This window comes from Homo sapiens, chromosome 12, assembly GCF_000001405.40.
Source record: "Homo sapiens chromosome 12, GRCh38.p14 Primary Assembly".
NCBI lineage: Eukaryota > Metazoa > Chordata > Mammalia > Primates > Hominidae > Homo > Homo sapiens.
This window is the reverse complement of record NC_000012.12, coordinates 7,755,809-7,781,066: the sequence shown is the minus strand read 5'-3', so window position 1 is coordinate 7,781,066 and position 25,258 is coordinate 7,755,809. Positions and strand designations below refer to the sequence as shown.

The 25,258-nt window shown below is 45.5% G+C and overlaps 1 protein-coding gene across 1 annotated transcript, besides 3 other annotated features; it reads right to left on the bottom strand.

Moving 5' to 3' along the window:
* Positions 1-6,945: 6,945 nt before the first annotated feature.
* NANOGNB (NANOG neighbor homeobox) lies at positions 6,946-15,851 on the bottom strand. The gene is made up of 4 exons (NM_001145465.1): positions 15,680-15,851; positions 10,752-11,084; positions 10,549-10,628; positions 6,946-7,267 (listed from the first exon to the last, which is right to left on the bottom strand). Exons 1-4 carry the CDS (start codon positions 15,779-15,781, stop codon positions 7,216-7,218), a joined length of 567 nt encoding a protein of 188 aa, NP_001138937.1. The 5' UTR covers positions 15,782-15,851; the 3' UTR covers positions 6,946-7,215.
* Positions 8,604-8,771: a silencer, noted in NCBI's record as "fragment chr12:7924892-7925059 (GRCh37/hg19 assembly coordinates)". NCBI's record gives its function as "represses an EF-1alpha promoter that drives an FKBP-Casp9 reporter gene in an ReSE screen in K562 erythroleukemia cells {active_cell/tissue: K562}" and the evidence as "EXISTENCE:reporter gene assay evidence [ECO:0000049][PMID:32094911]".
* Positions 13,541-14,140: an enhancer, noted in NCBI's record as "H3K27ac-H3K4me1 hESC enhancer chr12:7919523-7920122 (GRCh37/hg19 assembly coordinates)". NCBI's record gives its function as "activates a minimal SCP1, AML or CMV promoter by ChIP-STARR-seq in primed H9 embryonic stem cells {active_cell/tissue: H9 hESC(primed)}" and the evidence as "EXISTENCE:reporter gene assay evidence [ECO:0000049][PMID:30033119]".
* Positions 14,141-14,740: an enhancer, noted in NCBI's record as "H3K27ac-H3K4me1 hESC enhancer chr12:7918923-7919522 (GRCh37/hg19 assembly coordinates)". NCBI's record gives its function as "activates a minimal SCP1, AML or CMV promoter by ChIP-STARR-seq in naive and primed H9 embryonic stem cells {active_cell/tissue: H9 hESC(naive and primed)}" and the evidence as "EXISTENCE:reporter gene assay evidence [ECO:0000049][PMID:30033119]".
* Positions 15,852-25,258: the final 9,407 nt, after the last annotated feature.

Below are 25,258 nucleotides of genomic sequence, written 5' to 3'. Positions count from 1 at the left end.
CTTGTTCTTTTTATGTTCTAGAATCGCGTCCAGGATATCTTCTATTTACTCATTATGTCTCCTTTGGCTCCTCTCGGCTATGACGGTTGCTCTACTGTATCGTAAGAACTCCCATTTCACCCACGGCCTCACCTATTCTCGCGTTTGGTCTCCTATTTGTTCCCTTTTCCTCTATCTGTACTTATTGCCTACCCTCTGAAGACATAATTTGTTTCATACCCACTGCTTTTAAAAGCATTATTGTCTTTCCTTAAGATCTTTGTTTTTTTTATAACTAAGAAAAGTGAGAATTCTAAGGTCAGAGTAGATGGAATTTTTTGTATTCTATTTTCCTCCTGCAAAATTCTCTCAGATTAATCCCATTCTTCTACTGTAGCGCTTACAAATTATAAATAGGATGATATGGTTTTGGGGAATCTGAAAAGGCAGCCTCTAGTGATAAGGTTAGTCAGACCTGGGTTTAAATTCCAGATTTACCATTAATCCAACTACTTGAATCTTGGGTGAATTAATTTAACTTGTCTAATTTTCTTAGTTCCATTATCTGTTGAACAGCTATATTACTATCCAACGTGGTTGATGTGAGGGTTTTCTTTATTTTGTTTTTCATTTTTTGTTTTTGAGACAGGCCTTGCTCTGTCATTCAGTCTGGAGTGCAACTTTTTTTTTTCTGTAGAGATGAGGTATTGCTAGGTTTTCCAGGATGGTCTGGAACTCCTGGCTTCAAGCGATCCTCCCTCCTGGGCCTCCCAAAGTGTTGTGATTACAGATGTGAGCCACCATGCCTGGACTTAGAGACGTTTAAAATACATGGTTCTGAGTAAATTCCCAAGTAAATTACCAAATCCTCAAATGTCCTGTGCTCTAATCTGTCTTTATTCATACCGAGTATTACTGGGAACTGTAAGGTATTGGGAATTGATTTTTTTTCCTGATCCAATTTCCATATTAATACATTCAATTTACTTAAGAAAGATAATTAACTATGTTTTAATTTATTTCTGGTAAAATGTTAGCAAGAATAAAAATATACACCCACAATACATACTTTAACCATGTATAAATATTTTTATTTATTTATTTATTTATTTTGAGACAGAGTCTCACTCTGTTGCCCAGGCTGGAATGCAGTGGCGTGATCTCAGCTCACTGCAACCTCCGCCTCCCAGGTTCAAGGGATTCTCCTGGCTCAGCCTCCCGAGCAGCTGGGATTACAGGTGCGTGCCACCAGCCCTGGCTAATTTTTTGTTTTTTGGTAGACGCGGTTTCACCATGTTAGCCAGGATGGTCTCGATCTCCTGACCTCGTGATCCGCCTGCTTTGGCCTCCCAAAGTGCTGGAATTACAGGCGTGAGCCACGGCGCCTGGCCCTTAACCATCTAAAAATCTTTAAAACTAGCTGGGAACCGTGGCTCACGACTATAATCCCAGCACTTTGGGAGGCCTAGGAGAGCAAATCACTTGAGGTCAGGAGTTCGAAACCAGCCTGGCCAACATGGTGAAACCCCGTCTCTACTAAAATTCCAAAACATTAGCTGGGCGTGTTGATGAGCGCCTGTAATCCCAGTTACTTGGGAGGCTGAGGCAGGAGAATCACTTGAACCTGGGAGTTGGAGGTTGCAGTGAGCCAAGATGAGGCCACTGCACTTCAGCCTGGGTAACAGAGTGAGACCTTGTCTCAAAAATAAATAGATAAAGAAAATAAAAATAAGGAACAGTCTTACATCACTATTTTTTCTAGTATTTGTTCCAAATTAAAAAATTGTTTTAATTATTGTTTAAATTTAAGGTATACAACATAATGTTTTTTGTTTGTATTTGTTTGTTTGTTTTGAGACGGAGTTTTGCTCTTGTTGCCCAGGCTGGAGTGCAATGGCGCGAGCTCGGCTCACTGCAACCTCTGCTTCCCAGGTTCAAGTGATTCTTCCGCCTCAGCCTCCCGAGTAGCTGAGATTACAGACACCCACCACCACGCCCAGCTAATTTTGTATTTTTTTTTTTTTAGTAGAGATGAGGTTTCTTCATTTGTCAGGCTGATCTCAAACTCCTGACTTCAGGTGATCTTCCTGCCTTGGCCTCCCAAAGTGCTGGGATTACAGGCATGAACCACTGCACCTGGCTGATCTCTCTTATATATGGGATGTAGAAGCAGTTAGGGTTGCTTGTGTTGCCCAGGCTGGAGTGCAATGGTGTGATTTCAGCTCACTGCAACCTCCACCTCCCAAGTTCAAGCGATTCTCCTGCCTCAGTCTCCGTAGTAGCTGGGATTACAGGCGCCCGCCACCACGCTCGAGTAATTTTTTTGTATTTTTTTCTTTTGGAGACAGAGCCTCACTCTGTTGCCCAGGCTGGAGTGCAGTGGCCTGAACTCAGCTCACTGCTACCTCCGCCTCCTGGGTTCAAGCAATTCTCCTGTCTCAGCCTCCGGAGTAGCTGGGATTACAGATGTGCACCACCACGCCCGGCTTATTTTTGTATTATTAGTAGAGATGGAGTTTTCACCATGTTGGCCAGGCTAGTCTCGAACTCCTGACCTCAGCTGATCCTCTCACCTCAGCCTCCCAAATTGTTGAGATTATAGGCATAAGCCACCGCACCCAGCCAATTTTTTTGTATTTTTAGTAGAGACAGGGTTTTACCATGATGTCCAGGCTGGTCTCCAACTCCTGACCTCAGATGATCCACCCACCTTGGACTCCCAACACACCCAGCCAGGATGCAGTTATTTTTACAAGGGGCTGGCTTCATTTCCTTTGGGTATATACCCAGAATTGGAATTGCTGGATTATACAGTAGTTCTGTTTTTAATTTTTTGAGGAATCTCCATACTGCTTTCCATAATGACTGCACCAACTTAGCTTCCCATCAATGTAAAAACTTTCTCTTTTCTCCACATCCTCACCAACACGTGTTCTGGGTGACTGGGAAGTCCAAGATCAAGGCTCCAGCAAATTCACTGTCTGGGGAGGGCATGCTTCCTGGTTCACAGGTGACTAAAATCGGGGAGAGAGCTCTACACTGTCTCTTTTATAAGTACACTAATCTCATTTATAAGATGCCACTCTTACTGCCTAATCACCTCCCAAAGGCCCTATCTCCTATTATCATCACAATGGGGGTTAGGAAATTTTTTTTTAGATGGAGTCTAGCTCTGTCGTCCAAACTGGAGTGCAGTGGCTCGATCTTGGCTCACTGCAACCTCCGCTTCCTGGGTTCAAGCCATTCTCCTCCTCAGCCTCTGGAGTAGCTGGCATTACAGGCTCCCGCCACCACACCCGGCTAATTTTTGTATGTTTATTAGAGACAGGGTTTCACCATATTGGCCAGGCTGGTCTCTTACTCCTGACCTCGGGGATCCATCTACCTCGGCCTCCCTAAGTGGTGGGATTACAGCCGTGAGCCATCGTGCCCGGCTGGAGCGGTTTTATTCACAGTTGCTAAAATTTACCAAGATGTCCTTCAGTAGGGTGAATGGATAAACTGTGGTCCATCTACACAATGAAATATTAGTAAGTGATCAAAAGAAATGAGCCGGCCAGGCGCAGTGGCTCACGCCTGTTATCCCAACACTTTGGGAGGCCGAGGGGGGTGGATCACCTGAGGTCAGGAGTTGGAGACCAGCCTGACCAACATGGAGAAAACCCATCTCTACTAAAAATAACTAAATTACCCAGGTGTGGTGGCTCATGCCTATAATCCCAGCTACTCGGGAGGCTGAGGTATGAGAATCGCTTGAACCTGGGAGGCAGAGGTTGCAGCGAGCCGAGATTGCGCCATTGCACTCCAGCCTGGTCAACAAGAGCAAAACTCCATCTAAAAAAAAAAAAAAAACTGAGATTAGGAAATAGAAATTCTTTTCTCCAAATTTCTCTCACTCCGTGATATAGGGAATGGGAGATAAACTTACCAAAGTTGGAAATGTCCTCTACTTAAGAGCACTAGTTCAATAAACTGGCTCCCCCAGGTTTACTGAGGGCTGATAAATTCACCTGGTTCTTTTACTTATCTAGAAACACAGTACAGATATTAAAATACCTAAATCCCAGTGGCCGCTTTGAACATAGTGCTACCCTACATATTACTGGAAAGAGGAAAATTCAGGACTGGATTAGAGAAATGGCTAATGAAAGATGGGCTGATGGCTAATCTTAAATTCCACTCTCCCTGTCTTCCTTAGCTTCACGGTCATTTTCTGTGATCCAAAAATGTGGTAAAAAGACTGCATTTTATCTAACTACCAAAGATGTATAGGCAGGAAGCCTGTAAGAATGGCTGATGTGTACAGTAACACACTTATAGACTAGCGCCTGGGCTTTCTCATCTTCTAACTAGTGTTCTTTTTTTGAGTTGGAGAGTGAAAGTCTCAAAAGTTGGGGATAGAAACTGGAGCTCAAAAATTACCACCACAGGCTGGGTGTGGTGGCTCATGCCTGTAATCTCAGCACTTTGGGAGGCTGAGGTGGGCGGATCACCTGAGGTCAGGAGTTGGAGACCAGCTTGGCCAACATGGTAAAACACCATCTCTACTAAAAATACAATATTGGTGAGGCGTGGTGGCTCACCTGAGGTTGGGAGTTCGAGACCAGCCTGACCAACACAGAGAAACTTCATCTCTACTAAAAATATAGAATTAGCCAGGCATGGTGGCATATGCCTGTAATCCCAGCTACTGGGGAGGTTGAGGCAGGAGAATTGCATGAACCTGGGAGGCGGAGGGTGCAGAGAGCTGAGATCACACCATTGCACTCCAGCCTGAGCAACAAGAGGGAAACTCCATCTCAAAAAAAAAGAAAAATATTAAATTCCCCATGAAATAATGTATCAAACCCTACTAACTTATACACTTTATTTTAATTTAATTAATTCATTTGTTTATTTATTTATTTTGAGATGGAGTTTTGCTGTGTCACCCAGGCTGGATTGCAGTGGTGCCATCTCAGCTTACTGCAACCTCTGCCTCCTGGGTTCAAGCGATTCTCCTGCCTCAGCCTCCCAAGTAGCTGGGACTATAGGCGCCTGCCACCATGCTTGGCTAATTTTTTTGAATTTTTAGTAGAGATTGGGTTTCACCATGTTGGCCAGGCTGGTTTTGAACTCCTGACTTCAAGTGATCCACCGGCCTCAGCCTCCCAAAGTGCTAGGATTACAGGCATGAGCCACAGCGCCAGGCCAATAAATTTTTATTCCATATTTATTCAATAATATTTATTGAGTACCTACTGTATATCAGAAACTAGTTGAAATACATGTGATTATGACAATGAATGAGATCAACAAGTTTCCAACACTAAGAGAGCTCTCATTATGGTGGGGGTAGAGAGATGAAGCAATATATAAATATAGTAATTTTAGATGATGCTGAGTGCTATAAAGTAAATAAAAATAAATAATATGACCAGATGACTGAGTATGTGTAGGGCTACTTCAGATAGGTAGTCACAGAAAACATTTTTGAATAGGTGACATTAGAAGTGAGATCTGAATGTTGCAAAGGAGGCAGCCACTCTCAAATCTGCAAGCAGACCATTGTAAGCTGTGGGAACAGCAAGAGCATAAGTCTGGAGATGGTAAGAAACTTACTGTCTCTGAGAAACAAAAGAAGGTGTGTTTGGCGTGTAACGAGCAAGTCAGGGAATGTGGTCAGATGAGATTGGAGACTTTAGCAGGGACCAGATCTTTTAGGTTTTTACAGGCCATAGTCAGGAATCATAATTTTATCCTAAGTGTGATGGCAAGCTATGCAGAGTATATCAGTGTTCTTAATAATAAACAACAAAATTAGTTTAAGGTGAAAAGCATTTAAAGAATATTAGAAGCCGGGCACAGTGGCCCATGCCTATAATTCCAACAGTTTGTGAGGCAGAGGTGAGACAATTGGTAGAGTCCAGGTGTTCAAGATCAGCCTGGGCAACATGATGAAACCCAGTCTCTACAAAAAATACAAAGATTGGTCCAGGCGTGGTGGCTTATGCCTGTAATCCCAGCACTTTGGGAGGCCGAGGCAGGCAGATCACCTGAGGTCAGGAGTTCGAGACCAGCCTGACCAACATGGAGAAACCCTGTCTCTACTAAAAATACAAAAGTAGCCAGGCGTGGTGGCGCATGCCTGTAATCCCAGCTACTCCGGAGGCTGAGGCAGGAGAATCACTTGAACCCGGGAGGCGGAGGCTGTGGTGAGCCAAGATCGCACCATTGCACTCCAGTCTGGGCAACAAGAGGGAAACTCCATCTCAAAAAGAAAAAAAATCTAAATGACCTTAGTCCTCTGACTCAAGTCACACATCAGAAAACAGTCACCCTTGCCTGGGCACTGTAGCTCACGCCTATAATCCCAGCTACTTGGGAGGCTGAGGCAGGAGAATCACTTTAACCCAGGCAGAGGTTGCGTGAGCCGAGACTGCACCACTGCACTCCAGCCTGGGCAACAGAGCAAGATCCTATCACAAAAACAACAACAACAACAAATTGCCCTTCCAGGAGTATAATCACATTTGTAGAGAAAAGTCATGTTTGGAGGGGATGTTTAGAAATATATTGACAAATTGCAGAAGGCACTGAACCCGTTAGCTTCTATAATGGATTTCCCTTTCAGTCTCAAAACATTTCCACAGGTTGGTAATTTCTTCATTGATTTTTTTATTTTCTTTTTCTTTTTTTTTTTTTTGAGACAGAGTTTCGCTCATGTTGCCCAGACTGGAATGCAATTGTGCGACCTTGACTCACTGCAACCTCCACTTCCCAGGTACAAGCGATTCTCCTGTCTCAGCCTCCCAAGTAGCTTGGATTACAGGCATACACCACCACGCCCGGCTAATTTTTTTGTATTTAGTAGAGACAGGGTTTCATCATGTTAGTCAGGCTGGTCTCGAACTCCTGACCTCAGGTAACCCACCCGTCTTGGCTTCCCAAAGTGCTGGGATTACAGGCGTGCTCCACTGTGCCCGGCCTTGACTCGATTTTTTTTCTTAAATAAAATCAATTAACATCCATTATAAAAACTTTAAATCTACAGTAGGGTAAAAATAAAACACATAAAAACTCCTTTGCATACCCCTCATTTAGTTCTACTCCACGGAATCAACGACTGTTAATGTTTTCTTGTTTATCCTTTCAGAACTCCATTTATTGGTGAGAATGGTGTCATGTAAAATGTCTTAGCCAGTGCGATGGCTCATGCTTGTAATCACAGCATTTCTGGAGGCCAAAATAGGAAGATCACTTGAGGGCAGGAGTTCGAGACCAGCCTTGGCAACACAGAGATCTCCATCTGTTTAAAAAAAAAAAAAAAAAAAAGAGTTTCGCAACACAGTCTATATATTTATTTATTTTAAATTTTTTTTTGAGATGGAGTTTCACTCTTGTCACCCAAGCTGGAGTGCAATGGCACAATCTCGGCTGACTGCAACCTCCATCTCCCAGGTCAAGCAATTCTCCTGCCTCAGCCTCCCGAGTAGCTGGGATTACAGGCACCTGCCACCAAGCCTGGCTTTTTTTTTTTTTTTTTTTTTTTTTTTTTTTTTGTATTTTTAGTAGAGATGGAGTTTCACCATGTTAGTCAGGCTGGTCCCAAACTCCTGACCTCAGGTGATCCACCTGCCTTGGCCTCCCAAAGTGCTGGGATTACAGGCATGAGCCACGCACCCAGCCGCTGTCTATATATTTAATATACACATCAAAATATGTTAAATCTGGAAAACAATTTTCATTGAAGGCCAAAGTAATCTTTCTAAAATACATTTTAAAATTTCAAAGTGGTAAGAAAGTTATGGAGGCAGAAATGGTGCAAGAACATTAGAAACACCATCACACCAGCTGGGCATGGTAAGGTACACCTGCAATCCCAGCTACTCGGGAGGCTGAGGTGGGAGGATCACTGTAACCTGGGAGTTTGAGACCAGCGTGGGCAGCATAGTGAGACCCCCATCTTTGAAAAAAAAAAAAAAAAACTATCACAGTTGGATTTTAATAGAGGACACTAAGAGTAAACAACACTACATGTGAAACAAATTGATAGAGCCTAGACTATGTCTCGAGTTATAACTGAAAATATACGCTTCCTCATTTATAATTTAGAGTAATGATTGCTGGGAAATGCAGTCTCATGCATGTAACTCTTTTAATCCCCACTTGGCCGCATAAGAATAGATCCTGGGCCTGGAATACTTCCTTACCAAGAGGTAAAAGAGCCCAGATGGGTGCAGTGGCTCATGCCTGTAATCCCAGCACTCTGGGAGGCAAGCAGATCACTTGAGGCCAGGAGTTCGAGACCAGTCTGGCCAACATAGTGAAACTTAATGTATACTAAAAATACAAAAATTAGCTGGGTGTGGTGGTACACATCTGTAGTCCCAGCTACTAGGGAGGCTAATGCACGAGAACTGCTTGAACCTGGGAGGTGGAGGTTGCAGTAAGCCAAGATTGGGCCACTGTACTCCAGCCTGGGCAACAGAGCAAGACTCTGTCTCAAATTAAAAAAAAAAAAAAAAAAAAGGCCGGGTGCGGTGGCTCACGCCTGTAATCTCAGCACTTTGGGAGGCTGAGGTGGGCAGACCAAGAGGTCAGGAGATCGAGACCATCCTGGCTAACATGGTGAAACCCCCATCTCTACTAAAAATACAAAACTTAGCTGGGCGTGGTGGCGGGCACCTGTAGTCCCAGCTACTCAGGAGGCTGGGGCAGAAGAATGGCATGAACCTGGGAGACAGAGCTTGCAGTGAGCCGAGATTGTGCCACTGCACTCCAGCCTGGGCGACAGAGTGAGACTGTCTCGAAAAAAAAAGAGCCCATGTAACCTGTGCTGGCTTATTGTCTTCTGTGAGACTATCTTTCCCTGTGGCAAGCCCAATGTGCCAGAGGGGTACGCATAGCCAATTTCCCTGCACTGGCTGCCAGGAAGCTGATCTTGCTCTGTAAGTAAAGCATTGCTCCACCCATGGCTTGACTGCATTGTTTTGCACAACTCTGATACTGAGGTGCATTGAGTGGAGACATTTGGAGTTCTATTCTTGTCGGTTGGCACAGTGATGATCTTTGCAATCCTCCATGTGGTGGGAGTCATTCCCTCGGTGTTGGTAACCAGTGTTCATTGTTCTGCTCTCCTGGGATTGATAACCGGGTGCACCATATTTTGCTTAATGATCAAGTGAGTCCAGGCGTGGAGGTTCACACCTAGAATCCCAGCACTTTGGGAGGCCGAGGCGGGCGGACCATCTGAGATTAGGAGTTTGAGACCAGCCTGGCCAACATGGTGAAATCCGGTCTTTACTAAAAATACAAAAATTAGCTGGGCATAGTGGCGCGTGCCTGTAACCCCGGCTACTCGGGAGGCTGAGGCAGGAGAATCGCTTGAACCCAGGAGGTAGAGGTTGCAGTGAGCAGAGATCACGCCATTGCACTCCAGCCTGGGTGACAGAGTGAGACTCTGTCTCACAAAACAAACAAAAAACAATGATCAAGTGAGATAATATTTAAACATTTCTAAATAAATATACATAAATAATACATTAAAATTCTATATACGGTCTAGTGCTGTTAAAACTGTTGATATTGGCTGGGCGCGGTGGCTCACGCCTGTAATCCCAGCACTTTCGGAGGCCGAGGCAGGCGGATCACAAGGTCAGGAGATCGAGACCATCCTGGCTAACACAGTGAAACCCCGTCTCTACTAAAAATACAAAAATTAGCCGGGCGTGGTGGTGGGTGCCTGTAGTCCCAGCTACTCAGGAGGCTGAGGCAGGAGAATGGTGTGAACCCGGGAGGCGGAGCTTGCAGTGAGCCGAGATCGCGCCACTGCACTCCAGCCTGGGCGAGAGCGCAAGACTCCGTCTCAAAAACAAGCAAACAAACAAACAAAAAAGCTGTTGATACTGTCCTTAATTCCTTCCAAAAATCACATGAGCTTTTGCCACTAACTAGAGAGGAACAACAATCATCAGATATATTTAGCATCAAAGGAACAAACAGGACAAAATTATCAATTCTGTACTGCAATCAATAAAAAGCTAATGTCTGTATTTGTACATTTGGTAATATGATTACATGTTAAATGGTGGCATGCATATGTGAGTGTGTGCCTGTGTGGTGTTTTGAGTAGAGTGAAAAATACACAGTAAGTGGTTTTTCTGCCACTGGCTGGAACATTAAAAAGTTTATGGGCACCGGGTGTGGTGGTTCACGCCTGTAATCCCAGCACTTTGGAAGGCCCAGGCTGGTGGATCACCTGAGGTTGGGAGTTCGAGATCAGCCTAACCAACATGGAGAAACCCCGTCTCCACTAAAAATACAAAATTAGCTGGGCGTGGTGGCGCATGCCTGTAATCCCAGCTACTTGGGAGGCTGAGGCAGGAGAATGGCTTGAACCTGGGAGGCGGAGGGTGCGGTGAGCCGAGATGGCGCCATTGCACTCCAGCCTGGGTAACAAGAGCGAAACTCCGTCTCAAAAAAAAAAAAGTTTATGGGCATACCCAATAATGATGGAAACACAAACCAACTCCGGAAGTCAATATATTCCTTCTACTTCCTTTTATTTTACAAGAAACACTTTCTTACCTCATATGTTTTTTCTTATGCTTTCTCTTGGACATTTCTTTATTATATTTCTTCCTCGTTTTACAAAACCATTGACTTATCTACAAAAAAATGAGGTGTGGGAGGTGATTAATACAGGAATAAGGATATTGGTCTATATAGCAATAGTACTATACAAGTGACTTTGTCTATCAATGAAGAAATGTCTATTAATGTTGTCATACCTGTTTATGTGTCATGTCAAATTCAAATGACAGTGATAGACTCTCTTGTATAGTGGGGCACCTGTTTAACTTAAACTTTGCCCAGAGAGTATGCATGAGGGATTTGCTGACTAATCTTTTCTCGGGATACTGTTTCTGTTTCTCATTTTCCCTTTTCCTTTTGTTTTCCTGTTCATCTTGCAGCTCCTTTTCGTTTTTTTCTTCTTTTTCTCGTTCTCTCTTTCTGCCTGCTTCTCCTTCTTCTCTCCATTTCTGCTTTCCATTTTGTTCATCTTCACTGTAATTTCCAGTTGATTGTTCTGGATCTTGATCCCAAGGCATAGCTGATTGTTTCTGTATAAAAAGATCCGTGGAATAAAATCAAGCTGCAGCTAAATTTGACTTTCAGAGCATAGTCAACAATCTTCCCTGGGAGAATATATTTGATTTTTCTAAATTAGCAATGTTGTACATTGGTGGAAAACATAGAGCAAAGAAAAAGTGAACTTGAGGCTGGGCACGGTGGCTCATGCCTGTAATCCCAGCACTTTCGGAGGCTGAGGCGGGCAGATCATGAGGTCCAGAGATTGAGACCATCTTGGCTAACATGGTGAAACCCCGTCTCTACTAAAAATACAAACATTAGCCGGGCATGGTGGCACGTGCCCGTAGCCCCATGCTACTCGGGAGGCTGAGGCAGGAGGATCACTTTAACCCGGGAGGTGGTGGCTCACGCCTGTAATCCCAGCACTTTGGGAGGCCGAGGTGGGTGGATCACCTAAGGTCAGGAGATCGAGACAAGCCTGGCCAATATGGTGAAACCCCATCTCTACTAAAAATACAAAAATTAGCTGGGTGTGGTGGCATGCACCTGTAGTTCCAGCTACTTGGGAGGCTGAGGCAGGAAAATTGCTTGAACCCAGGAGGCAGAGGTTGCAGTGGGCTGAGGTTGCACCACTGCACTCCAGCCTGGCAACAGAGTGAGACTGCATCTCAAAAAAAAAAAAAAATTTGCCAGGCATGGTGGCAGGCACATATAATCCCAGCTACTTGGGAGGCTGAGGCAGGAGAATTGCTTGAACCCGGTGGGTGGAGGTTGCAGTAAGCCGATATCGCACCATTGCACTCTAGCCTGGGCAACAGGGCCAGACTCTGTCTCAAAAAAAATAAAAATAAAAATAAGAAGAAATTCATTGCAGGGAATTGTCTTACGCAATCTTGGAACTGTCTTGGCAAGTCCGAAAGGATGGCTGGAACCCTTCAGTGTGCGATGGAGCTGCTCTCCCTAGGCAGAATTTCCTCTTAAAGCCTTAACTGATTGGATTAGGCTTTCTCAGATTATAATCCCTTTTACTTGAAGACGATTAATATGGATTTTAATTACATCTAAAAATGCCAGTAACAAGGCCCGGCGTGGTGGCTCATGCCTATAATCCCAGCCCAGCCACTGCACTCCAGCCTGGGTGACAGAGCAAGACTCTGTCTCAAAAGAAAAGAAATATGCCGGCCGGGCGCGGTGGCTCACGCCTGTAATCCCAGCACTTTGGGAGGCTGAGGCGGGCAGATCACGAGGTCAGGAGATTGAGACCATCCTGGCTAACACAGTGAAACCCGGTCTCTACTAAAAATACAAAAAATTAGCGGGGCATGGCGGCGGGTGCCTGTAGTCCCAGCTACTCCGGAGGCTGAGGCAGGAGAATGGCAAGAACCAGGGAGGCGGAGCTTGCAGTGAGCTGACATCCTGCCAGCTGACATCGTGCCACTGGACTGCAGCCTGGATGACAGAGCGAGAATCCCTCTCAAAAAAAAAAAAGAAAGAAAGAAAAGAAATATGCCAGTGGCACCTAGTGTTTGATTGAATAACTGGGGTCTATAGCCTACCCAAGTTGCCACATTAAAGACCATCACACTGATACTCAAACCAGACAGATATCACCCCTAAAAAACTATAGATTAATGTCCATTATGAATATGGAGGCAAAAACTTCAACAAAATGCTAGCAATCCTAAATCCAGCAACACAGTAAAACGATTATGCACCATAACCAAGTAGGATTTATTCTAGAAATATGTGATTAGTTCAAAATAGGAAAATCAATGTAATACATCATATGAATAGAATAAAGGAAAAAAACATGCAATCATCTCAATAGAGGCAGAAAAAGACCGTTTCTCTAAAATTTAAAGTTACCATATGACCCAGCAATTGCCCCTTTAAACAAAATGTATTATATCTATACAATAGACTATTATTTAGCCACAAAAGGAAATAAAATACTGATTCATGCTCAACATGGATGAATATTGAAAACAAGCTAAGCGGGGGCTGGATGTGGTGACTCACGCCTGTAATCCCAGCACTTTGGGAGGCCGAGGCGAGAGGACTGCTTGAGCCCAGGAGTTCAAAACCAGCCTGGGCAACAGAGTGAGGTCTCCTCTCCGCAAAAAATAAAAAAATGAGGTGAGAGGATCACTTGAGTCCAGGAGGTCAAGGCTGCAGTGAGTCCTGATCATGACACTGCACTCCCACCTGGGTGACAGAGCAAGACCCTGCCACACCGGAAAAAAAAAAAAAAAAAGAGGAAAAAGGAAAGCAAGTTAAGTGAAAGTTGAAATACAAAAAGTCATATATTGTATGATTCTGTTTATATGAAATGTCCAGCATAGGCAAACCTATAGAGACAGAAAGTAAATTAGTGATTATCAGAGATGAGGGTGGGATAAAATTCGGAGTGTCTGCTAATTGGTATACATTTTCTTTTAAAAAAATAATGTATTTATTTTTAAGAGACGGCAGTGGGTGAGGTGGGATGGCAGCTAACTGTGCTGTTGTTGGTCTCGAAATCGTCAGCTTCAGTGATCTGTCCGCCTTGGCATTCCAAAGTGCTGGGATTACAGGCGTGAGCCACCACACCAGGCCACAAGTTTTCTTTTGTTAGAAAAAAAAAAAAAAAACCCTCTTGTAACCCACATCCTTCTATTGCTACCACTCCTCTTCTCAATTTCTTTTACAGAATGTGATAAAGTGTAAGAAAATTTTAAAGAGTTCTCTGTATGTGTTCTTTGCCTGTTGGTGATTTTTCTCCCCTCATTCTCTCTTGAATATTCTCCAATCAGGCTTTCACATCCACTTCCACACATTCCTCTTCAGAGTCAGACATTAATGACCCTGACATTGCAAAAAAAGTAAAATGGCTGCCAGGCACGGTGGTTCCCGCCTGTAATCCCAGCATTTTGGGAAGCCAAGGCAGGCAGATCACCTGAGGCCAGGAGTTTGAGACCAGCTTGGCCAACATGGTGAAACCCTGTCTCTACTAAAAATACAAAAATTAGCTAGGCTTGGTGGCGCACGCCTGTAGTCCCAGCTACTTGAGAAGTTGAGGCAGGAGAATCGCTTGAACCCGGGAGGCAAAGATTGCAGTGAGCTGAGATCGCCCCACTGTGCTCCAGCCTGGGCAACAGAGCAAAACTCAGTCTCAAAACAAACAAACAAACAACAACAAAACAAAGGCCAGGCGTGGAGGGTCACTCCTGTAATCGCAGCACTTTGGGAGGCCGAAGTGGGTGGACCACTTGAGGTCAGGAGTTCAGGACCAGCCTGGCCAACATGGTGAAACCCCGTCTCTATTAAAAATACAAAAAACTAATCGGACATGTCTTTTGAACCCCGGGAGGGGGAGGTCGCAGTTAGTTGAGATTGTGCCACTCCAGCCTGGGCAACAGAACAAGACTGTGACTCAAGAAACAAAAACAAAAGAAAAGAAATCAAATGGCCAATTTCCCATCCCCATTTTCTTTTAAGGGTATCGTGGTGGTGAGATAGTGGGTTTGTTTTGTTTTGTTTGTTTGCTGTTTTGTTTTGTTGAGACGGAGTCTCACTCTGAAGCCCAGACTGGAGTGCAGTGGCTGGATCTCAGCTCACCACAACCTCTGCCTTCTGGGCTCGAAGGATTCTCTTGCCTCAGCCTCCTGAGTAGCTGGGACTACAGGCGTGCCTCACCAAGCCCGGCTAATTGTTGTATTTTTGGTGGAGATGGGGGGTTTCATCATCTTGGCCAGGATGGTCTTCAACTCCTGAGCTCAAGCGATCTGCCCCGCTTGGCCTCCCAAAGTGCTGGGATTTGAGGTGTGAGCCACTGTGCCTGGCCTGTCCCCATCTTACTTACTTGAATGATCAGGGGCTTCTGAAGTATCGGGATCTCTCTCCACATTGAAAGAGTTTATTCTCCCACTTCCTGAACACCATCCTTTCCTGGGGCTTCCTCAAGTCAATGGCTGCTCTTTCAAAGCTTTCTTTGTTGCTCCTCTTTCCCCTACTGATTTCTGTCCCTGTGCTTTTTCAATCACACTCAAGGTTAAATCCCTTCACCTCTTATCTCCTTTACATGTAGCTCTAATCCAGGTCATCTAATCTCATGGTTTTTAATACTGCCCAAAAGGGAGATTATTTTCAAATTTTTATTTCCAGTCTTCTATGTCAAACTCCCAATTCAATATCTCTGCTTGGATGTCTAATAAGTTATGTGAATTGAACTTAAAATTCCCAAACTCAGTTTATGGCTCCCTTCACTGAACGCTGACCCACTCAGGCCTCTCTATCTTAGTAAAGCCAACTCCATCTGCCCAGTGGTTTGAGTCAAAAAGCTTGGTGCTGTCTTTCACTTCTTCCCTTTCTCATAGCTCAACTCAATCTGTCAGAAAGTCTTGCTTTTCTTTCTTTAAAATATATCCAGACAACTGCCACTTCTTTTTTTTTTTTTTTTTTTTGAGACGGAGTCTCACTCTGTCGCCCAGGCTGGAGTGCAGTGGCGCGATCTCGGCTCACTGCAAGCTCCGCCTCCCGGGTTCACGCCATTCTCCCGCCTCAGCCTCCAGAGTAGCTAGGACTACAGGCGCCCGCCACCACGCCCAGCTAATTTTTTGTATTTTTAGTAGAAACGGGGTTTTACCTTGTTAGCCAAGATGGTCTCGATTTCCTGACCTCGTGATCTGCCCGCCTCGGCCTCCCAAAGTGCTGGGATTACAGGCGTGAGCCACCGCGCCCGGTGCATTGAGGAGTTTTAAAGACCAATTAGTCCTTGGTAGGGAGGTTACAGAGATGACCGACCAGATAAGGTAGATGTCATCCATCTTTTGGATGTCAGTGGGCCACAAATATGAGCACCCAGTGGCAATTCACAAAAGGAATTCCACAAAAAGAACACATTTCCTGACATCTATTTTTGGAGCCATGAAGAAAAAAAACTTTTCAAATAGCCATATGAAAAATGTTCAATTTACATGTTGCAGAGTGTCCCAAATAGTGAGATATACTGATAAGAAAATGCTTTCCAAAATACAGTGGAGAGACAGGAAAAAAAAAATGTAGGGCTGGGCGTGGTGGCTCATGCCTGTAATCCTAGCACTTTGGGAGGTCAAGGCGGGCAGATCATTTAAGATCAGAAGTTCAAGACCAGCCTGACCAACATGGTAAAACTCCATCTCTACTAAAAATACAAAACTTAGCTTGTGTAGAAGTACGTGCTTGTGATCCCAGCTACTTGGAGGCTGAGGCAGGAGAATCGCTTGAACCTAAGAGGCAGAGGTTGCAGTGAGCCAAGATACTGCCACTGCACTCCATTCGGGGACAGACAGTGAGACTCCATGTTAAAAATAAATAAATACATAAATATTTTATGAAAATGCTACTTGGTCGGGTGAGGTGTCTCACATCTGTAATCCTAGTATTTTGGAAGGCCAAGGCAGAAGAATTGTTTGAGCTCAGGAGTTCAAGAACAGCTTGGGCATCACGGTGAGACCCCTGATTCCATTATTATTATTATTATTATTATTATTATTATTATTATTATTTTAATTTTTGAGACGAAGTCTCCTTTCTTGTCCCCCAGGCTGGAGTGCAATGGTGCAATCTTGGCTCACTGCAACCTCCGCCTCCCAGGTTCAAGCGATTCTCCTGCCTCAGCTTCCCGAGTAGCTGGGATTACAGGCACCTGCCACCACGCCCGGGTAATTTTTGTATTTTTAGTGGAGACAGGGTTTCACCATGTTGGCCAGGCTGGCCTCGAATTCCTGACATGAGGTGATCTTCCTGCCTTGGCCTCCCAAAGTGCTGGGATTACAGGTGTGAGCCACCGCTGCCCAGCCCATTTTATTTATTTATTTATTTATTTATTTATTTATTTATTTATTTATTTTTGAGACAGAGTCTTACTCTGTCACCAGGCTGGAGTGCACTTGTGTGATCTCGGCTCACTGCAACCTCCACCTCCCAGTTTCAAGTGATTCTCCTACCTCAGCTCCAAGTAGCTGGGATTACAACCAAGTGCCACTATGCCCAGCTAATTTTTTGTATTTTTAGGAGAGATGAGGGTTTCTCCATGTTGGCCAGGCTGGTTTGGAATTCCTGACCTCAAGCGATCTGCCTGCCTTGGCCTCCCAAAGTACTGGGATCATAGGCATGAACCATCGTGCCTGGCCTCCGACTATACTCTTACCTGGTCACACAACCAGCCTCACACTCTGGTAGAAGAAACCACTTGTTAACCACTTGTTAACCACTTCGTTAATCTCAGCTAAGAGAAGAGAATTTTATTTTATTTTATTTCATTTCATTTATTTATTTATTTATTTTTGAGACGGAGTCTTGCTCTGTCACCCAGGCTGGAGTGCAGTGGCATGATCTTGGCTCACTGCAAGCTCCGCCTCCCGGGTTCACACCATTCTCCTGCCTCATCCTCCCAAGTAGCTGGAACTACAGGCGCCCGCCACCACGCCCGGCTAATAATTTTTTGTAGTTTTAGTAGAGACGGGGTTTCACCATGTTAGCCAGGATGGTCTCAATCTCCTGACCTCGTGATCCGTCTGCCTCAGCCTCCGAAAGTGCTGGGATTACAGGCGTGAGCCACCGCGCCCGGCAGAGAAGAGAATTTTAAAGAATCACTGAAGACCGAGTGCGGTGGCTCATGCTTGTAATCCCAGCACTTTGGGAGGCTGAGGCAGGCGGATCATTTGAGGTCTGGAGTTCGAGACCAGCCTGGCCAACATGGTGGAATCACATCTCTACTAAAAATACAAAAATTAGCTTGGCGTGGTGGCACACCCCGTAATCCCAGCTACTCCAGAGGCTAAGGCAAGAGAATTGCTTGAATCTAGGAGGTGAAGGTTGCAGTGAGCTGAGATCACGCGACAGCACTCCAGCCTGGGTGACAGAGCAAGACTCTGTCTCAAAAAAAAAAAAAAAAAAAATCACTCAAAGTTTGACTTTTGTGTTTGGGGATACCCAGGATCCGACACCTGACTCAAGCATGACAATGTTGAAAAGTGAGAGGCAATCAGGAGCTGTCCACGGTGGCTAAATGTGGACAGGAGGTCTCTGTTCGTCATGGTCGCTGGTAGTCCCCTCAGATGCAGGTAAGCTAGGGGAGTAAACATTTGATAGGGGCTGCTTTTGAGCTGTCCTGGGCACATTAGAGTTGCTGCCTATGGCCTTACAGGTCTTCCATCCTAGCAGCTCCTCTTGAAAGGAACACGGACATCAGAAGCTGGGGGCTGAGGAGGGAGTTCCACAGGCCAGCTGTAAGAGATAAGTTCCCAAAAAGCAAATTCGGGGAATAGGCACTCATAGGGAAGAGATCTTCAAAAGCAACAGAGAAGGCCGGGTGCGGTGGCTCACGCCTGTAATCCCAGCACTTTCAGAGGCCGAGGCAGGTAGATGACGAGGTCAGGAGTTCAAGACCAGCCTGGCCAACATGGTGAAACCCTGTCTTTACTAAAAAATACGAAAATTAGGCTGGGCACAGTGGCTCACGCCTGTAATTTCAGCACTTTGGGAGGCCGAGGCAGGTGGATCATCAGGTCAGGAGTTCGAGACCAGCCTGACAAACATGGTGAAACCCCGTCTCTATTAAAAACACAAAAAAATTAGCAGAGTGTGGTGTCGCATGCCTGTAATCCCAGCTACTTAGGAGCTGAGGAAGGAGAATCTCTTGAACCTGGGAGGCAGAGATTACAGTAAGCCAAGATTGTGCCACTGTACTCCAGCCTGGGTGACAGAGCAAGAGTACATCTCCAAAAAAAAAAAATTAGTTGGGTGTGGTGGCACGCAACTGTAGTCCCAGCTACTCAGGAGGCTGAGTCAGGAGAATTGCTGGTACCTGGGAGGTGGAGGTTGCAATTAGCCAAGATCCGGCCACTGCACTCCAGCCTGGGCGACAGAGCAAGACTCTGTCTTAAAAAAAAAAAAAAAAGGGCTGGGCATGGTGGCTCATGCATGTAATGCCAGCACTTTGGGAGGCCGAGGCGGGTGGATCATGAGGTCAGGAGATCAAGACCATCCTGGCTAACACGGTGAAACCCAGTCTCTACTAAAAAATACAAAAAAAAAAAAAAAAAAAGCCGGGCGCGGTGGCTTACGCCTGTAATCCCAGCACTTTGGGAGGCCGAGGTGGGCAGATCACAAGGTCAGGAGATCGAGACCATCCTGGCTAACACGGTGAAACCCCGTCTCTACTAAAAAATACAAAAAATTAGCCGGGCGTGGTGGTGGGTGCCTGTAGTCCAAGCTACTCGGGAGGCTGAGGCAGGAGAATGGCGTGAACCTGGGAGGCGGAGCTTGCAGTGAGCCGAGATCATGCCACTGCACTCCAGCCTGGGCGGCAAAGCGAGACTCCCTCTCTAAAAAAAAAAAAAAAAGCAACAGAGAAATCTGGGCTCGGTGGCTCACACCTGTAATCCTAGCACTTTGGGAGGCTGAGGTGGGTGGATCACCTGAGATTAGGAGTTCGAGACCAGGCTGGGTAACATGGTGAAATCCCGTCTCTACTAAAAATACAAAAAAATTAGCCAGGCATGGTGGCAGGCGCCTGTAGTCCCAGCTACTGGGGAGGCTGAGGCAGGAGAATGGCGTGAACTCAGGAGGTGGAGCTTGCAGTGAGCCTCGATCGCGCCACTGTGCCCCAGCCTGGGCGACAGAGTGAGACTCCGTCTCAAATAAAAAGAAAAAAAAAAAAAAAAGAAACAGAGACCTGGCTTGGTGGCTCATGCCTGTAATCCCAGCTACTTGGGAGACTGAGGCAGGAGAATGGCTTGAACCTGGGAGGCAGAGGTTGCAGTGAGCTGAGATCGCGCCACTGCACTACAGCCTGGGCAACAAGAGGGAAGCTCCATTCCCGCCCCCCGTCCCCCCAAAAAAGAGAGAGAGAGATCCTCCTGCCTCGGCCTCCCAAAGTGCTGGGATTACAGGCATTAGCCACTGTGCCCGGCTGAGAATGGATTTTTAAATACCTAAATAAAGGTAATTATTTGTTAGGAAGCAAGAGAGACTGGAAAGGCTCTGGGATCTGCTTGAGATTTCCTCTGGGGTCAGGGCAAGGCAAGTCAACAGAACAGGTTAAAGGGACAGTTATCGACAGAGAATAATATGCTCCTGTTCTAACCCTTCCAAGTTCACCTTATCCAAAAGCAATTAGGCTCTGATGAGTATTTTATTCCCTTGCAGATGCATCTTATGAAAATAGAGATTTGGGCAGGTGTGGTGGCTCACGCCTGTAATCCCAGCACTTTGGGAGGCCGAGATGGGCGGATCACGAGGTCAGAAGTTTGAAACCATCCTGGCTAACACGGTGAAACCCCGTCTCCACTAAAAATACAAAAAATTAGCCGAGCGTGGTGGTGGGTGTCTGTAGTCCCAGCTACTTGGGAGGCTGAGGCAGGAGAATGGTGTAAATCTGGGAGGCAGAGCTTGCAGTGAGCCGAGATCGCGCCACTGTACTCCAGCCTGGGCGACAGAGTGAGACTCCATCTCAAAAAGAAAAAAAAAGAAAATAGAGATTTAACCCTTGGCAGAGAATATGGAGCAGAGGCTAGAGAAGGCTTAGACTAGTAAGAACTGAAATGGACATTTCAGGCCTATGATGATAGCTACATCACATATTCCCCCGTTTTGTGTATAAACCAGCTGACACTTTGAGAGGGTAAGTGACATGTCTTAGGTACACAGCTTAGAAAGTGGCAAAAACTAAAAAGGAACAAAGCTGTTTGGTTTCAAATCTCAAATGGAAGAAGGACCTGACCCAGAGGTGACTAATCCGGTGAAGACAGTGGTCCTTAGGATCCAGGTAAATAAAATGCACTGAAAATAGAGCAGTTCTGCAGGGTGAAGTAGTTTCATCTGTCTGTGCAGAACCAACCTTACAAACAAATGGAGAAAATGGAGTGTGGCTTTCATTCTTGCGAGTCTGAATTTTGCAGGGATAGTGATTGAGATTGCAAGGGACCTTAGTTTGTGTGTGTGTGTGTGTGTGTGTGTGTGTGTGATGTGGGGGGTGGGTGTCAGTGTGTTTTCAGGATTTGGATTTTCTAGAAATCAGACCCTGTCGGCCGGGCACGGTGCCTCACGCCTGTAATCCCAGCACTTTGGGAGGCCCAGGTAGGCAGATCATCTGAGGTCAGGAGTTCAAGGCCAGCCTGACGAACATGGTGAAACCCCATCTCTACTAAGCCCCATCTCTACTAAAAATACTAGGCATGGTGGCGCACGCCTATAATCCCAGCTGCTCAGGAGTGGGAGGCAGGAGAATCACTTGAACCTGGGAAGTGGAGGTTGCAGTGAGCCGAGATCACACCATTGCACTCCAGCCTGGGCAATAAGAGCGAAACTCCGTCTCAAAAAATAAATAAATAAAAATAAATATTCTCTAACGCTTAAACTAATCCTATGAGATAGAAATTATTCAAGTCCTCATTTTATAAATGAGGAAGCTGAAGTTTACAAGACCAGTGCTCTAACCCCTGAGCTATGGAACCAACTGCGAAGCTGAAGTTTAGAGCAGGGCAGTAACTTGTAGATCACAGCTTAGTTAAGTGGCAGAGCCAGGAGAGGAAGAAAGCCTGTCTGATTACAAATCTCAAAAGTAAGAAAGATGTCATCCAGGGAAATGAGAAGGATTGTCCTGGAGGATTTGAGAATCATGTGTGGTATTTCTGTTCTGATCTACCTAGCTGTTTGAGAATAATAACCATCTATTAACTATACTTAATAGATGGTTTTACATTTCCAAAGTGAAAAAGAACAACAGTACAGGTAAGCGATGAAAGAAGGCGCATCTGGGGGCCGGGCGCGGTGGCTCACGCCTGTAATCCCAGCACTTTGGGAGGTCGAGGTGGGCAGAACACCTGAGGTCAGGAGTTCGAGACCAGCCTGGCCAACATGGTGAAACCCTGTCTCTACGAAAAATACAAAAATTAGCCGGGCATTGTGTGTTGTGGCGTGCACTTGTAATCCCAGCTACTAGGAAGGCTGGGCCAGGAGAATTGCTTGAACACGGGAGGCGGAGGTTGCAGTGAGCCAAGATTGCGCCACTGCACTCCAGTCTGGGTGACAGAGCGAGACTGCCTAAAAAAAAGAAAGAAAGAAAGAAGGCGCATCTGAATCTTTCCAGCCACAGGGGAAATCCTGCCAAAACGCAGATAAATAAACCCCCTGAAGTCTCTGTACAACACATTTATTCAAACCTGCTTTGAATAATTTGACAAATCTGCTTAACAATGACCTGATTAAAGGGTAGACACAAAAAGGAGGTGGCACAGTGATTTTCTAGTACATTTTTCTTCTTAGGAAGCTCTTTACAGCTATTCTATTGGAGAGGAACAACCATAGGAATTATTGAAATGGCAAAACCCTATATCCTCTGGAAAGCATTCTACCCGCCTTTCCCCTTCCCCCTCCCTGCCAGTGGCTCTCAGAGTTCAGCATGCATAATAATCCCCAGGAAGGCTTGTTGAAATGAGGTTCCTGGGTCCCACCCCAGAATTTCTGATTCAGTAATTCACACGCGGGGCTCAAAAATTTGCATGTCTGTGTAGGGGCGGAGAGGGTGTGATCCCTTTCCTCCTGATAGTAAGAGTCAGGAGGACACTCCAATAACAAAAGGCAGATTAACAAGAGAAAAGCATAACAAATTTATCTAATCCAAGTTTTACTTGACAAAGGAATCTTCAGAGATGAAGATCGAAAAACTCAGGAAAAAAGTGTCTGTTTTTATGCTTAGCTTCTCTGAAGAATGGACAGCTGTGTAGAAATGTGACTGGACAAAAAGGGAACGACCTAATGGTAATAGACTGAGTGGGGAAACCCAGCAAAGCCTGATTTTTTTTTTTTTTTTTTTTTTTTGAGACGCAGTCTCACTCTTGTCGCCCAGGCTGGAGTGCAGTGGCGCGATCTTGGCTCACTGCAACCTCTGCCTCCTGGTTCAAGCCATTCTCCTGCCTCAGCCTCCCGAGTAGCTGGGATTACAGGCACGCACCACCATGCCCGGCTAATTTTTGTATTTTTAGTAGAGATGGGGTTTCACCATGTTGGCCGAGCTGGTCTGGAACTCCTGACCTCGTGATCCGCCCACCTCGATTACAGGCTTGAGCCACCGAGCCCGGCTGACAATGTATTTTCACATGTACTTGAGAAAATGTCCTGGTGTTCCAGATGCTAGCAGTTTCTAAATATGAAATACACATTTCTGGAGATCCATTTTGCAGAGAGGCATTCCCAGTTTGTTTGTTTGTTTGTTTGTTTGTTTTGTGACAGAGTTTTGCTCTTGTGGCCCAGGCTGGAGTGCAGTGGTGCGGTCTCCGGTCACTGCAACCTCCACCTCCCGGGTTCAAGCGATTCTCCGGTCTCATCCTCCCAAGTAGCTGGGATTACAGGCGCCCGCCACCATGCCGGCTAATTTTTGTATTTTTAGTAGGGATGGGGTTTCACCATGTTGGTCAGGCTGGTCTCGAACTCCTGACCTCGGGCAATCCGCCCAACTTGGCCTTCCAAAATGCTAAGATTACAGGTGCGAGCCACCGCGCCTGGCCTCCCAGTATTTTTATATCAAAGAATTTTAAAATATTGTTTTCAATAAAGATGTAAACTTTCCCATAGAGAGTAACCTAATGTCTGAAACTAACCAAAAAAAAAAAAAAAAAAAAAAAAAGGAAGGAAGGAAGGAAGAGAGGGAGATAGGCTTTCAAAAAATATGCCTGTGCTGGAATTGCGAATTGTTCCTTGATAAAAGTCCTCTGTTGAAAGGCATTCCTTTAGACCCTGAGACTCACCTGCTGAGGCAGCACTGAATCTTCCATTTCTGTCTCAACCACAAATGGAATGCTCAGGTCAAGACTCCACGCCTACACATGTGCCTGGGGCAGTCTCATTTTTAATTCCATGCCTCTCTTGATGCCTGTAAAAAGGTATATGGTAATATAAACATTATATCATGTTTACAGCTAAGAAGACTAAAAGGAAAAACAAGATGTTCAGGATGGTTCTTTCTAAGTAATTGAATTGCAGGTGGTTTTTCATTTTTTCTTTTCACTTTTTGTATTATTTACATTCTCCATGGTGAAAATGTAATGTTTCTAAAGTTAAGAGAAAATATTGTTTCATTTTGTTTATTTGTTTTAGAGATGGAGTCTTGCTCTATTGCCCAGGCTGGAGTGCAGTGACACCATCATACCTCACTACAGCCTCGAACTCCTGGGCTCAAGCAATTCTCTCGTCCCAGATTCTCCAGTAGCTGGGACTGCAGGTGCATGCCATCTCACCTGTTTTTTGTTTTGTTTTGTTTTGTTTTTTGTTTTTTTAGGTGGAGGCTTGCTCTTGTTGCCCCGGCTGGAGTGCAACGGTGGTAAAATTTCGGCTCACCATAACCTCTGCCTCCTGGGTTCAAGTGATTCTCCTGCCTCAGTCTCCCGAGTAGCTGGGATTACAGACATGCACCACCACACCTGGCTAATTTTTGTATTTTTAGTAGAGATGGGGTTTCGCCATGTTGGTGAGGTTGGCCTTGAACTCCTGACCTCAGGTGATCCTCCTGCCTCGGCCTCCCAAAGTGAGCCACCACGCCTGATCTCGCCTTGCTATTTTTAAAAGATTTTTTGTAAAGATGGGGCTCTCACTTTGGTGCCCAGGCTGATCTTGAACTCCTGGCCTCAAGCGACCCTCCCATCTCAGCCTCCCAAAGTGCTGAGTTTATAGGGATGAGCCACCACACTCAGACTTTCTTTTAATATGAAAGCTCATACTCCGGCTCGAACTCCTGACCTCAGGTGATCCGCCTGCCTTGGCCTCCCAAAGTGCTGGGATTACAGGTGTGAGCCACCACGCCCGGCCAATCTTCTTTTTTTTCCAGAGACAATTTACTTTTTTTTTTTTGATATGGAGTCTCGCTGTTGCCTAGGCTGGAGTGCAGTGGCACGATCTCAGCTCACTGCAACCTCTGCCTCCCGGATTCAAACGATTCTCCTGCCTTAGCCTCCCTGAGCAACTGAGTCTACAGGCACACACCACCATACCTGGCTAATTTTTGTATTTTTAGTAGAGACAAGGTTTCACCATGTTGGCTAGGCTGGTCTCAAACTCCTGACCGCAGGTGATCTGCCTGCCTCTGCCTCCCAAAGTGCTGAAATTACAGGTGTGAACCACTGCGACCAGCCGACAATTTACTTTTGCTTTTGCTTTTGCTTTTGCTTTGGCAGACGGAGTTAAA